A 15708-nucleotide genomic window follows, 5' to 3' on the forward strand; every position below is an offset into this window, starting at 1 on the left:
GGGCAGGAAAAGGAGCACGCAGGCCACCCAAGGATGAAAAGCACTTACTCCTCCCGCGCCAGGCACTGTTCTACACGCTTTACAGGAATTAACCCATTTCATCCTCACCAAGAACAATCTACGTCATAGTTACAAATTTTAGCTCCATTCTACAGATGGCAAGACTAAAAAACAGAGTGTGATTGACTCGCCCAAAATCACAGCAAGTGGCAGAACCAGGATGAACCCTGGCAATCTGGCTGTAGTCACTATACTGCCACTTAGAAAAAAATCTCTGACTTGATGTTTCTCCAATGAAACTATATTATTTATCACAGGCTTCTGGAGTCCAGGAGAAGCCATAACTGAATCCCAGCTTCTCTGGCCTGGCTTCTCTGACTGAGTGGAAGATGAAGAATCAACTTGTTGCCTATGGATGGATTATTCACGTAGGGAATTTAGAACTGCATCTGTCTGGTGGTCCAGGGGCTACTTCTAAAATAACACGAATAGTTATCAGTTCTACAATACTACCCTGAGAGTTAAGCATTATTACCTCTGTTCTTTAGAGAAAACTGTGCAGACATTGTCAGATCATCCTGTTACATGCTCTCGAAGCTTCCTACATACCTTCATAACTCTTGGCACAGTCATGATGAATTCTTTATGTAATTATCTAATTGTGTGGTATTCACTAGATTGTAAATGCCACGAGGGCAGGAAACAGGTCTGTTTTGTTCCCACCTGAATCTCCATTGCCTAGCACAGATTCTCAAAATGCAATAGTGGAACGAATGCAGAAGGGATGCTGAGTGGCTCAGTAACATGTGTAGGGCCTGCGGCTGTGCTCACCTCCCCACCCAGAGAGACTACAATAGTGGCACATGGTAGGTACTCACTAATAAAATACTTGTTGCAAATGTCAGACTTTGTACTTAGCAGCCCTGGGATTTGAACCCAGGCCTGTCTATCTCCTAGCCTCCATTCTTTGGTGCTTCATATTTAACCACTGCACTGAGTGACCCTGCCCCCCCATTACTCCCTCTGACTTGCTGTTCCAGTTCTTAAAGAGTATCCCCACCACCCTGGACCTTCAGTGGTGGGGATACTCTGGCTTCAGCTAGGACCTGCCTAGACTGGGGAAGTCCACAGAGCAAATCCCAAAGCCAAGTGAAGTAGTGTTTCTACTCATCTGCAGCCTTAAGTCCTCCACGAGGATGCTTCTGTCCAGGGAAGGGAATGATGGTCATTCTTCCAGGCAAATGAAGCCCAACCTCCTCCCACTCTGTCCTCACTGCCTTCTGTCCCCCTGCTTCCAGTGCACTCACTGCCCCTCTATCTACTCTCCCCTGAGAGGGCGGCACAGGCCTGGCGGGGAAGAAAAAGGAGACCCCATTGAGATATGATAATGTTCAGATGGAGGCAGAAAGAATGACTAGAGGTCAGGCTTGCCTAGGGGCTGGGGAACACTGGGGTAGCCTGGTCCCCAGGGCTTGAGAAGGGCAAGGAAGAGGCTTCTCCAGCCACCTCCAAAGCCCACCCCCAGGTCTCTGCAGTATCATAGACAGCCCTGTCACACCTGCCTGGAAGCTGCCTAAGGGTAGAAGGAATAAAACGAGCTCCAGCTGCAATGTGAGGGCAGGTGAGCCCAGACCCAGCTCCAGAAAGGGTCTCCTCGGCCCTGCGAGGTCTTCAGCAAGGTACATGCTTTGCCCAGGTGAAACCAGCTTCAGTCCTAAATTGAAGCCAGTTGCAAGCTTCTCTAGGTGAAAAGTCAATGTTTACGAACACCAACACTTTTTGCTTCCCCTGGTCCTGTTCTGCGGATGTCAGACCCCAAAGCTGAAAAAGAAATGTTCCTGCATAATCACCCCCTTCCCCCAAAAGAAAACCCAAGTTCCCTGGACCAAGCTCCTGGACTGCAGAACAAAGCAGACTCCCAGCAGAGTGGTCTGGTCTCTCTTCCTCCAGGGAATGGTGGGCCAGGTCTATGTGAGGCTATAACCTAGAAACTTTCCTCTGCCTCCCTCTCCTCCTCCTTTGGCAAGACAAGGAGGGGAGAAGGTAAGGATTAAGCCCAAAAGATCTCCAGAAAAAGCCAAGCCTCTGGGGGGAGTCCTAGAGGGTGAAGCCAGGGATCTGCCTGGCAGCCAAGCAGAGCAGAGGCAGCCACCCTGAGGGAAAGGTGGTTCAGTCGGGGTTCAGTGGGCACTGGCCATTTTCCAGGGGCATGGGAGGAGATGGGTTGGAGTTGGACTCCCTAGGCTGCAGTGTGCCTGGCGTGGACCCCTGACGCTGACTCACCCCCAGGGCCCTGACACACGCTGCAGCTTGCAGTGCCTGCCAGACCACCACTCTCATTCCACAGGACCAGGATGCCAGGCACGTCCCACTGCATCAGAGCCACCCTGCCCCCTTCCACCTGCCACTCGGGCCCGCCTTTGGGGCACTGGGCATGGCTTTTTTCAGCACCTCTGCTGGTCACAGAGATGTTTCTAGCAGCCCCAAAGCTGGACTTAGTCTTAAGTAGGGAGAGATGGTTGAAAGGATTAAGGGCTTCCCTGCTTCTGTCACCCCCTCTAATGAAGTGCCAGGTTATGGGGATCCAGACAGATTGGATGGAGGACAATCTATTCCACCTGGGAGAGGCCCCGCAGGGCGGCAGCAGTAGGGGAGGGAGAAGGGCACCCTTTTGCTTTCCAGGTCAGACCCCAGTTCACCTTTCTGGCTTCCTGGGCGCCCCCAGATCCTAAGGACTTCCTCCTCCTTATAAGCTAACTCAACCTGTACTACCTGCCCACGGGGCCTCTGCCCTTCCCTCCCCACTGCAGTGGCCCCTCCTGGGCCAGCACCTCTTCTGTCCTTGCACTCCCTTCTCCTGCTGCGGGGAGAGCACCTACTCTGCCACCTCAGCCAGGGGTAAGGGAGGACACTGCCCTGCCAGGAGACACCCCACGAGCCATGGGCTGGGGGTGTCCTGGAGGCACCTGTGGAATGTGGGGATGAAAAGGGAGGAGACAGGATGAGGGGGCCTGGCTTAGTGGGATGTGAAACGATAAAGCTCCACTTTTTAGTTGAAAAATAAAAGCCCTGTGCCCCAGAGGTGGGGGAAGGAGCATAGGCAGGGGAAGGGGGCACCCCAAATGGGAAAGGTACATGGAAGAGTCCAGAAAAGGGAGTCGGGCTGTCAGCACCCGCCAGGCTGCGAGCCTAGCCCTTGGGGACAGAGCTGAAGCAGGGACGGGGCGTCCTAGGTCGTGCTGAGTCATGAGATTTGGAGAGAGGGGAGGGGCGCCTCCAGCCCCTTCTTGGGCCCCTGCCCCAGCTCCTCGTGCCCGTTGCTTCCAGATGGCCCCTGCAGTCTGTCTCCCCAACCTCTCCCTGACCCAGGGTCTCCGGCTCCCAGCGCCCAGACCCCACCCCCCGCCCCACTTCCCACGACGGCGGTGCCAGGGGTCCCCGAAGCTTGAGACTGGGGCAAAAGAACCTTCCTTGGAGACCGCTAGGGCTGGCGGGGGCTGGGCTAGACGCGAGTGGGTTCGTCCCAGGGAAAGGAGAGAGGGACGGGGGCGCAGAGCCGGCCGGTGCAGGGGACGCGTGGCCCGCCCCTCTCTGCAGCAACCCGCGGGAGGAAATCTGCCCCCAGCCCAGCCCCAGTCCCTCAGAGGAGCCGGCTCCTCGCCCCTCGGGTCCGACTCCCCGAGACGAACCTTCCATCCGGACGCTTCCAAACTCCCCCAAAGGACGGGGCAGACTCCCGGCCCCCTTGGCCTCAAACTTCCCCAACCCTACTCACCTCTCGGGACCCAGACCACCCCGTGGCCCCTCGACTCAGTAGCAGGAAAGGAGAAACTTTGGAGAGGGAGGTCCGTGCCCCCACCGGCGGGGGTATGGACTTACCGGAGAGCGACCCGAAGGAGGCGGGAGAGATCCGGGGTCTCCAATGTGAGGGGGCGTCGGACGGCAAGGACGCGTGGCTGGCGACGGTTTCGCAGGGGCGCCCGTTCCCCTGGGGGCGCGAAGTCCCCGCTCCACCGCTGCCCCAACTCGGCTCCGAAGTGCCTTTGCCGCAAGACTTGCTGAGCTTAGCAGTCTGCGCCGAGGCGGCAGAGGGAGGGGGCCTGATCGATGGGCGCGCGCGGCGAGCGCTGCAGTGAGGGGAGGAGACCAAGCGGCGTGGGAGGGCGGGGACCGAGGCGGAGGAGGCCCGGAGGAGGCGGAGGGCGGGCCTGCCCCCCGGGACGGGTTCTTTCTGCGCAGCCCCCCAGGCGCTCGGCGCCCCCGCCTCCTGCTCAAGGTCAAGGAGGCTGCTTCCCCAGCAGGAAGGCGGACTGGAAAGGAGCTCTATACTCCCCACCCCAGAAGGCTGGTCTCCTTTCTAGCCAGCTCCTTCTCTCCAACTTCCCGAACCCACTGCAGCTCAAGGCTAAATTATTGGGCTCAGGAGCCCCCATCCCCATGGCCATTTTGGGATCCCTGAGCCCCTAGCCTCCCCTCCTCCCCTCTCCGCTTAGGTCACCGCTACCTATATTGGCCACCTGGATGGTGGGGGCTTCTGAGCCTAAAGGTTGGGTGAGAGAGAGGAGGATGCTTGAGAGAAGACAGCGGTGCCTGAGGCCTATGGAAATAGAACAGCGGAGGGGAGAGTAAGAACTGCAGGGTGACAAGGAGAGAGGAGCTGGAAGACGGTAGAAAGAAAAGGAGGACGCTACTGGTTATTAAAGACAGGGTGTTCACACATGTTAGTTTGCTTAATACGTAAGACATCCCTTTAAGGTGGGCATTTTGCGTGGGCAGTTTGCAGGTGGGGAAACAGTCCCTGAATGGTGCGTTGGACCAAGGAGCTGCAGACAGTTAAGTGGTGGCATTTCGGAAGAGCCTGGGAGAAAGAGAAGGGTGGCAAGGGCAAAACAGAGCCCTTCCTAACCTACCCAGGAGCTGCCAGGGCAGCACCAGAACTTCCTTACAGCACAATTTGAATATCCGCTTTAACTCTTTTGGAGTTAACTTTTTTTTTTCTTTTTTTTTTAGACAAGTCTCACTCTGTTACCCAACCTGCAGTGCAGTGTGCAGTGGCGCGATCTTGGCTCACTGCCACCTCTGCCTCCTGGGTTGAAGGGATTCTCCCGCCTCAGCCTCCCGAGCAGCTGGGATTACAGACGTGCGCCACCACACCCGGCTAATTTTTGTATTCTTAGTAGAGATGGGGTTTTGCCATGTTGGCCAGGCTAGTCTCGAACTCCTGACCTCAAGGGATCCACCCACTTCAGCCTCTCAAAGTGCTGGGATTACAAGCATGAGCCACTGCGCTTGGCCTGGAGTTAACTTTTATAATAGGACTGTAGCATCCTGCCTCGCTTTTGGGTACAAAACCGTACATGGCCTGAGGTCAGTCTTCAATACGTACTAGGTGAGTGAGTGAGAGGTGGAATGAATGCAATATGAGGAGATGCAAAGAACAAGTGGGATTCAGGCTTTGGGGAGAGAAGAGGCAGTGGAGGGCACTTTTCAGATCACTGTGCCAATAATACCAGGTGTTACTGGCAGACCATCCCCAGTTGGAGACTATCCCCAGTTTGGCTTGCCTCAGAGCAAGGCGGCAAGTGGCTGCCGACTCAGTGGATGTTACGAAAAAGGTGGGGGAAGACCTCTGGGGAGTCCTCAATCAGGCTGAAGCTGTGCTCACAGCCCCTGAGGCACAGAGGCCCTCCCCCTTCACCTGTGGAGCAGCCAGAACAAGGGCAGTGGAGGAAATGGGGAGCCAAGTTACAATGGACTAATGAGACCTTTACATTCAAAGAGGTTACCCACCACCCCCACCCTTAGCCAGGTGTGTTCCAGGACTTGTTGCTTCCCCAAAGGGGCTGGCTCTACTCTATTCATTCCTTCCTGCTCCCCATGCCAACAACCAGTATCTGCAGGACTCCAGCCAGAAAGAGGGCTGCAGCCCCCTCGCACAGAATCAAGCCAAGCGAACTGGCCTGATGCGCTTCAACTTTTCCACGGCAGCAGACTCAGCTGCCTACTGTTCTGATCAAAGCCTTGTGTCAATCTGGTGCCCCAGCTTCTTCTCCTAAGCACGTCAGAGGAAGCCAGCCTGCCTTCCCAGGCTATTAGGAGAGTCAGAGCTGTAATCAATTTGGTTAAATGAAAAATGTGGTGTCGCTGGCTACAGCCTTAATGTTCTTTTAATTCATCAGGACCAGTAGTGTCTGGGTTACAAACCTAATCAAGAGCTCAACATCCCTCTTGCTTATTCCCCCAGGCTTCAGGAGCTGGAAGAGGAAAGAATGGAAAAGACATCCACCCCCTCCACACCCAGCCTATTATTAGATACTTTGCTTTTCAACTGTTCATCATTGTAGAAAGATGAGCCTCTAGTATCTTAGACCAGCATCACTCAATTGCATGCACATGCAGGGCCATCAGGGCAATCCCTCTGCTTCCACACAAGGTCATTTTGAACCCACAAAAGGTGGGGGAGAGCTATCTAACACTGAGCGTTTTTCAGGAAGAAAGTCTACAACTCCCTCAATTACATTGTTTTACCACTTTCTGCTGAATAGTGTGCTTCCTGGTGGCTTCATTTTCTGTTTTTTTCTAGGGAGGAGAGAGAAGAGAGCAGGGAGCTGCTGCATCGTGCCCCTGTCACAGCTTTCCCTGGGGACTGAAAGCCCCTGTACTTTTCCTGCCTGCCACCCACCTTCTGCTTAAAGAATTCCCTTTTTGTCCATCCTTGATCATAGGTCTACTAGCACTTGCACTACCTCACACTTGGATTGTTTCCCTGATGTTCTGGTCAGGCCTTCATCCCTGCAAACTTGTTCCAAGCCCTGCTGTCATAGTTAGAGCAAACAGAAATGAGCTGGGACAGGAGAGAGAGTCTTCATCACCGCTGACCTAGCCAGCTCCCATTTCCTGCTTTCTCTTGATACACACAGAAACAAACACCCCTTCAGAAAGCTGTTGTTCTTGCCCTCCCACCCCCTGCACATACCCGTATTATTCTTCCAGAGCAGTTTGTATTGTTCCTGACAATTAAGCAAACAATGACTAAACTCTCCTCTGAAACACGCCTGCTTTACTGGTTGTAACTGAGTAAATGGTTCTTTAAAACTTACAGCTGGGCAAAGTGGCTCACGCCTATAAGTCTAGCCCTTTGGGAAGCTGAGGCGGGCAGATCGCGAGGCCAGGAGTTTGAGACCATCCTGGCCAACATGGTGAAACCCCACCTCTACTAAAAATACAAAAATTAGCCAGGTGTGGTGGTGGGTGCCTGTAATCCCAGCTACTCAGGAGGCTGAGGCAGGAGAATCGCTTGAAACCAGAAGGCGGAGGTTGCAGTGAGCCGAGATCATGCCACTGTACTCCAGCCTGGGCAACAAGAGTGAAACTCCGTCTCAAAAAAAAAAAAAAAAAAAATTACATGCAATTCCTATCACTAAAGGTCTTGGTTTTCTTCTTTTAATCTAATTTTGTAGACATACCAAGCTTAAATATACTTTAACTTTTATTTAAATTACCCTATACTACCTATACTCTAGCTCCACTGAGCTATTTTCATTTCCCTAAGCCACATGATAGTAGCTACCTATTTTGCTAAGGCCCTGCTCAGTGTTTATAACCATTATACTACTTACTCTTCAATAATATATGTCTGGCCAGGTGTAGTGGCTCACGCCTGTAATCCCAGCACTTTGGGAGGCTGAAGCAAGCAGATCACCTGAGGTCAGGAGTTCGAGATCAGCCTGGCCAATATGGTGAAACCTCGTCTCTACTAGAAATACAAAAATTAGCCAGGCATGGTGACAGGCGCCTGTAATCCCAACTACTCGGGAGGCTGAGGCAGGAGAATCCTTGTGCCCGGGAGGCAGAGGCTGCAGAGAGCTGAGATTGTGCCACTGCACTCCAGCCTGGACAACAAGAGTGAAACTCCATCTCAAAAAAATAATAATAACATATTTCATTCTACAGTCAACTTTTAGATATCCCATAATATACTTTTTTTAAATTCTTTTCTTTATTTTACTTTATTTATTTATTTATTTATTTATTTATTTATTTATTTATTTTGAGATGGGGGTCTTGCTCTGTCACCCAGTTTGAAGTGCAGTGGCACAATCAGGGCTCACTGCAGCCTTGAGGCTCAAGTGATCTTCCTGCCTCAGCCTCCCTAGTAACTGGAACTACAGGTGTGCACCACCATGCCCCATTAATTTTTTAATTCTGTGTAGAGATAGGGTCTCTCTATGTTGCCCAGGCTGGTTTTGAATTCCCAGACTCAAGCGATCCTCCCGTCTCGGCCTCCTAAAGTGCTGGGATTACAAGCGTGAGCCACTGAGCCTGACCTCAGAATGCTTTCAATACAGAAGACATGAACTGATCAGATGTGGGGAAAGAAATCAAACATAAGCAAAATAAAGATAAATATAACTATCATATATCATATAATCTACATGATATCTTAGGTTTTAATAAAAAAGAAAAACCCTAGTCTTCCAACCGGCAGTGAAGGCCAACTCTTCGAAAAAGCTGATTAAGTGGACTATAATTATTTCTTCTCTATGCAATGAACAAAATAAAAACAAATAACTCTGAGCTCAGATAAAATGTTTAAATACAACAGAATGGGGCAGACAGAGGACTACTGGATCTATAACATTATACTCCTAGAGGGGAAGCTTTTTAAAGTTTTCAAGACCATATCTGGCATGTGGAAGAAAGTCACTAGGATGCAAATAATAATCACAGAATTTTATCAGATCCCAGGAACTAAAGAATGTCATGAGGACCTTGTCTTTTCATATAGTAACAATGATTGTTTTTCCTTCTCAAAGGAAATATCAACCTACAACACCAGAGCAGACCCTTCTTCCTTCTGCAATGAAGTACCAGTCACAGTTTTATGTCCCAGGTAAGTTTCGCTGAGCCTCAGTTTTCCCCCTCTCATAGAAGAGAAGGTTCTTCTGAGGTGCTCACCTTCCGGAATGTGAAGAGCAAATGGCTCAGACTACTAATCACACAAGGGCAGGATGTCTCTTCTTACCAGAAGGCAACTGTAGGCTTTGAAGCTACCCATCATGGGGGAGATGAAAAGCAAGTCAGTTGAAACATTTTCTGAATAATTAACCCTGGTGCTTTAATATCCGTGTGTCCATTAAAACTCTCCATAAATTGGAGTTGTATCTCAGAACTGCCCTTGGGATGTGCCCTAGCTGTGGAAGGCAAGCACCAAAGCACAAGAAGCCACAGCAGAGACATGTGGGAAAGAAGCTCTAGGACTGATACGGTCCTTTCTTCAGTATCCCAAGTCCATCTGCCACTCTTCTCTGTAGCTCAGGAGCAAATCTGGAACAAGTCTCTTAAGCTTCGTATTTGTCCACGTACCCATCACCTATCCAGTCAATAACATTTACCACGGCCGGGTGCGGTGGCTCACGCCTGTAATCCCAGCACTTTGAGAGGCCGAGGTAGGAGGACCAGCTGAGGTAAGGAGTTAAAGACCAGCCTGACCAACACGGTGAAACCCTGTCTCTACTAAAAATACAAAAATTAGCTGGGCGTGGTGGCAAGCGCCTGTAATCCCAGCTACTTGAGAGGCCGAGGAAGGAGAATCTCTTGAATCTGGGAGGTGGATATTGCAGTGAGCCGAGATTGCACCACATCCTGGGTGACAAGAGCAAAACTCGGTCTCAAAAAAGAAAAAGAAAACAAACAAACAAACAAACAAAAACACCCGGAAAAAAGCAATTGCCTAGAGTGCAGATAATACCACCACCCAGGGTATTATCTGTCAGGAGCCCTGCAGGGAGCGGGCAACGTGGAGGGGAACACTTAAATACTTCAAGGATTTCACAGCCTCCTTGATGCAGGGAGTGAGAAACATGTACCAAAAGAAAAGTATAAGATGCTGTGGGAACCAGAGAGAGAGCCACTAACTCAACCTGGTAGGAAGTCAAGAAATAACGGCAGGCTTCCCTGATGAAATAACCTTTCAGCTACCACCAGAGGAAAGACTGGTTTTCTAGGTAGGCAATGAAGAGAATGGCATCCCAGGCAAAGACAGCAGTAGTGGATAAAAGTATACAGTGCACTCATTGAAGAGCTTAAGCACTGGAGTCAGAAAGCTATGTGACTACTCTAACGCCTCAGTTTCCTTATTTGTTAAATGAAGACTTCACCACCTACTTTGAGGGATTGTTGTGAAAATTAAATAGTATAATGGTTCTAAACAGCAAGCAGGGCCTTAACAAAATAGGTAGCTTCTATTATGTGGCTTAGGGAAATGTAAATAGCTCAGTGGAGCTAGAGTATAGGGTAGGTTTGGGGAGGAGGGAAAGATCAGAGGCAAAGGCAAGCTCATGACAGATTCTGTAGACCAACTGTTTGGATTTTCTTCAGAAGGTAATGGAAACCATTGAAGGAATCTAAGCATAATCCATTTTATGCTTTTAGAAAAACCACTCACAGCTGGAGTTGGGTTAGAGGGCCTGTAAGTTCCCTTCCTTTGCTGACTTCTGAAAGGAGGCTGCATACTACATACTGCCGTGCTCACCACTTTGGATTCTGGAGACAGACTTCCTGAGTTCCAATCTCGGCTCACCTCTCAGAGGCCATGAGTTAGTGACTTCATTTCATAGCAGCATGGTGAGAGTCAGCTTAGGTTATCTGATATCTAGGACAGTACCTGATGCTCAGTCAGTGCTCAGTGCGTATTGAGTATTACAGTAACTGTTATTATTTCTGGCTCCAGAAGACCAGCAAGCCTAATGATGATTCTCTACATTGTTTGCTCCAGAGAGGTTGAGTGACTTTCCCAAGGAAGCCCAGTGAGTCTAGAAGCCATGGGATAGCTGCCTACCTCCTCATACTGTCTAGGGCCTGGCTGGAGAAAAGTTCAAAAAGGAGGATTGAACACCCTTTGTTAGATCCTGTTCCTACCACCCTAACCCCTGGCCACAGAACATTGATTGCACATGGTCTCATTTCTAGACTCAAGATAGCTGTGTGTGTGTTCGTGTGTGCACGCACATGTGCACACATGCTAAGACCTACAAGCAAAACATGTTTATTGGTCTTTTTAATTATTTATTTTTGAGATGGAGTCTTGCTCTATTGCCTAGGCTGGAGTGCAGTAGTGCGATCTTGGCTCACTGCAACCTCCTCCTCCTGGGTTCAAGCAATTCTCCTGCCTCAGCCTCCCAAGTAGCTGGGATTACAGGCGCCCACCACCATGCCTGGCTAATTTTTGTATTTTCAGTAAAGACAGGGTTTCACCATGTTGGTCATGCTGGTCTCGAACTCCTGACCTCAGGTGATCCACCTGCCTCATCCTCCCAAAGTACTGGGATTACAGGCGTGAGCCACTGTGCCCGGCATTGTTGGGTCTTTTTTCTGGGTTTTGGAGCACTGTCTAGGAGCTTCTGCCCGAAAACGTTCTGCTATCCCAAGGGCAACTTACCTTGGGTCCAACCAGCCTAATGCCGTGGTTTCCTTTCCCTAGTCAGGCCAGGCACCTTAAGAGTTTCCACACATTTGCTTATGCAGTTCCCCATCACTAAGGTCTTCTTGTATGGATTTGCTTTGGTTGCCAGGAATGCAATATACCTAGCCTCAGTCCCAACTGAGGTGGCTTTGCTGATGGTGGGTGGAGGAGTTGAGAGCTGAGTACCATGGTAGAGCTGCCATCCACACCCCAGCAGGCCCCTGAGGGCAGGGTCCCTGCCTACAGACCTGAGTGTCTGCCCTCTGGGGCAGCAGGTACCGTAGCCTTAAAGAGGCAGCTGAAATGCATTTGTGACTTCAGTGAATTACCCAAACCAGTTTAGGAAAAAAAGAATGTTCACTCAGTTCTCTAAAAGAAGGCTTATATAAGCCTCACTCAACTACCGGTGGGAGAAAAACCACAGCCTTTAAGGGCATCCATCAGCAGCTATGTTGGGGAGTCGTTAGGAATGGTTTACTGCTTTGTGGAACCACACATCTGAGAGGCGGCTCAAGAGTACTCAGCGGCCTTCCATCTTGTTTATAGGGCTCAGCCTCAGGAGCCAGACTGTCTGGGTGCATCCTGGCTGTCTATGTACCAGCTGAATGGCCTTCAGTCTTAACCTCGCTGAAGCCCAATTTCCTCATCTGTAAAATGGGCATGATAGTATCAATCTCATTGGGATGTTGTGAAGATTAAATGAGTTAATATATGCAAGGGATCCAGAGCCTGGAACGTACTAAGTGCTGTGTTAGCTTTTATTATTTCTCACCATGAAGTGTGCTAATGTGAAATGCCTTCTTCCTCAGCTTGCCCTAGATGTACATCTTGTTCTGGCTACACAGAAGTCACTGAAGGTACAGAGCACAGACTCCTGGGACCTCTTCCCTAGTTCTTCTCCATTCACACAAAGAGTTGCCTCAGTATTCAAGGGAACCACTGAGCCAAAGCCTGTCCCTAGTCAGAGAACCATTACTGGAACAATTTGCAGCCAATGCCCCTGACTTACCTTAGGTGGTGCTTTAGGGAGCTGCAGTCAAACCAAACTTATGAGGGGAGGGGCAGATAAGGACAGAGTACCCCTGGGGACCTTGTAAACCAGTCTTATTTTAAACATGCCAAGGCTCCATCTTCGGCAAAGCCACATGGCCAGTTTGGCAATAACCTTATTTCAAGTGTCAACTCAAATCAAATTTTCACCTTTCCTAAGCCTTGCTCTTTCTTCTCTAGCTCCATCACAATGTGCACGCACACTGGAACAAGAAACTTGAAACATTATTTTACATAGTTTCCTTCTATATTAAATTTCAAGCTCCTTGGGTATAGTGCAGTGTCCCCGTTCTATACAAATCTACAAAGCCTAGTAGGTGGTTAGTATGCTAGGCACATAACTGGGATCATCACTGGCTTAGGGATTGGCTCCACCTCAGGTAGAATGAGAATCCAAAGCCTGATCTTCAGTCTTAGGTCTACAGCCCAGTCCAGCCTGGGCAATAGCAAGACTCCATCACTAAAAAGATAAAAATTAGACTGGGCATGGTGGCTCACACCTGTAATCCCAGGACTTTTGGAGGCTGAGGCAAGAGGATAGCTTGAGCCCAAGAGTTAAAGACCAGCCTGGGCAACATAGTGAGACCTTATCTCTATTTTTAAAAAAACAGAAAAAAAGAGTAAAAACTAAAAAAAAAAAAAAAAAACATTAAATCTCCAACCTAATCTTCCAAACAGCAAGCAGGTTAGATATACACAATGAACTGAAGAATTTTGTGAGGGGCAAAACATTGCAGAAGATTAGATCCTGATGTCTAACTTCAGGGCAGGTCACAGACCAGAAACGGAATGGAGAGTGGCCTTAGGTATTCAAGTCTTTCCACCACCGCTTTCCCTCCCGTGGAACTAGGAGGGGAAGCAGCTCAATCCTGGTCCTCTGCTGCCCTCTTCTGTTGCTTATTAGAAGCTCCTCCTGGCTTGTCCCGAAGGGCCTGGAAAACAGCCACTTCCTCTCCAACATCCCATCCCACCTGCCCCACCCTATGGTTTCAGTATATTAGGGGATTGATATTACAAGCAAGAAAGATAACTGTGATTGCCATTAGTTCAGACTGGGCTACTAATTTGTCTTCCTGAGCAAAAAAGCAGTAGACTTGGGCACAGCCTTCCTTTTTTTTTTTTTCCTTTTTGAGATGGAGTCTAGCTCTGTTACCCAGGCTGGAGAGCAGTGGTACGATCTCGGCTCACTGAAACCTCTGCCTCCTGGGTTCATGCCATTCTCCTGCCTCAGCCTCCCGAGTAGCTGGGACTACAGGCGCATGGCATCATGCCTAGCTAATTTTTGTACTTTTAGTAGAGACGAAGTTTCAACATGTTGGCCAGGCTGGTCTCGAACTCCTGACCTCGTGATCTGCCCGCCTCAGCCTCCCAAAGTGCTGGGATTACAGGCGTGAGCCACCGCGCCCGGCCAGCCTTCCTTTTAAGAACGCTGGAGTTGCCCCCACATCCAAGGATCTGGCAGATATGGAGCATGCTCCTTATTTTGAACTCTAAAGCTAACAAGTTATCCTATAGAGGCAGATCTTTTTTTTAAGCTTACAAGTGAGGGCACAATTTTGCATCAAAATTCCAGCCTTCCACCCTCACCCACAGGGAAATATTACCTCATGTGTTACAAGGATTAAATAACATATGTAAAGCCCTAATAAGACTGGGCGCAGTGGCTCACGCCTGTAATCCCAGCACTTTTGGAGGCTGAAGGGGGCAGATCACTTGAGGCCAGGAGTTGGCCAGGAGTTCAAGATCAGCCTGACCAACATGGTGCAATCCCATCTCTACTAAAAATACAAAAATTAGCCAGCATGGAGGCACAGGCCTGTAATTCCAGCTACTTGGGAGGCTGAGGCGTAAGAATCGCTGGAACCCAGGAGGTGGAGGTTACAGTAAGCAGAGATCTCGCCACTGCATTCCAGCTGGGGCGACAGAGTGAGACTCTGTCTCAATTAAAAAAAAAAAAGCCATAAGAACAATATCTGGTAGTTAGTGCTATAGAAGTGTTTTGTTTTTGTTTTTGTTTTTGTTGTTTTTGAGATGGAGTCTCACACTCTCGCCCACGCTGGAGTGCAGTGGCACCATCTCGGCTCACTGCAAGCTCTGCCTCCCAAGTTCATGCCATTCTCCTGCCTCAGCCTCCCCAGTAGCTGGGACTACAGGCACCCGTCACCACGCCCGGCTAAATTTTTGTATTTTTAGTAGAGACGGGGTTTCACTGTGTTAGCCAGGATGGTCTTGATCTCCTGACCTTGTGATCTGCCTGCCTCGGCTTCCCAAAGTGCTGGGATTACAGGCATGAGCCACCGCGCCCGGTGCGTCTTTTTTTTTTTTTTTTTTTTGAGATAGAGTTTTGCTCTTGTTGCCCAGGCTGGAGTGCAATGGCACGATCTCGGCTCACTGCAACCTCTGCCTCCCAGGTTCAAGTGATTCTCCTGCCTCAGCCTCCCTAGTAACTGGGATTACAGGCATGTGCCACCACGCCCGGCTAATTTTGTATTTTTAGTAGAGACGGGGTTTCTCCATGTTGGTCAGGCTGGTCTCGAACTCCCGACCTCAGGTGATCCACCCACCTCAGCCTCCCAAAGTGCTGGGATTACAGGCATGAGCCACCGCGCCCGGTGTTTTGTCTTTTAAACTCATAGATGTGATAGAGGTCATAGTATTAAAAGGACATGGGATTGGAGTCTGGCTCAGCTACTGGCCACAAGCCTTATGCAACTTCTGCCCATATCCCAGTTTAAGTCACACCTCCTCCACAACTGATTCCTCGGTGCTCAGTCTATAGGCCATCTAGCAAAGGAGATAATGATACCTTCCTATGTCCGCTTCCCTGAGGACCTCATCATTCTGGACTCATAAAAAGCCTTCAGTAATAATACATGCCAATTCTGTCCTCCACCCTTGTCCAGTGAAGGTGGCTCTGGGGTAAGGAATTAACAGTGAAGTTTCCGATCAGCACACTTTGGCCCTCTGTCCAGGGCCGCCTTTCCTTGTGGTCATCACTTAAATTGTAATGCCTATACCAAGAGCACCTCGACTCTTCCCATTTTCCCTTTGATCTATACATAAACCTATCCCATGACCAAAGTTTAGAGGAGGAGGTATGCAAAGACCCAAAGGTTTTCTCCGCTATTAAGGGCTGGCGACTTACAACCCCTAATAATCTTAACTGAAGATTAGTACCTAAACTCAGTGTCATG

The 15708-nt window shown here is 49.7% G+C and overlaps 1 protein-coding gene across 2 annotated transcripts in view; it reads right to left on the bottom strand.

Moving 5' to 3' along the window:
- Window positions 1–4076, bottom strand: part of SYT2 (synaptotagmin 2) — a 119859-nt gene extending 115783 nt beyond the window's left edge. For both annotated transcript variants that reach the window (NM_177402.5, XM_011509192.3), the window contains exon 1: window positions 3880–4076. The gene's annotated coding sequence lies outside the window, so the exon portion shown is untranslated. The remainder of the gene's footprint in view (window positions 1–3879) is intronic.

This window comes from Homo sapiens, chromosome 1 (genome assembly GCF_000001405.40).
Source record: "Homo sapiens chromosome 1, GRCh38.p14 Primary Assembly".
NCBI classification, from domain to species: domain Eukaryota; kingdom Metazoa; phylum Chordata; class Mammalia; order Primates; family Hominidae; genus Homo; species Homo sapiens.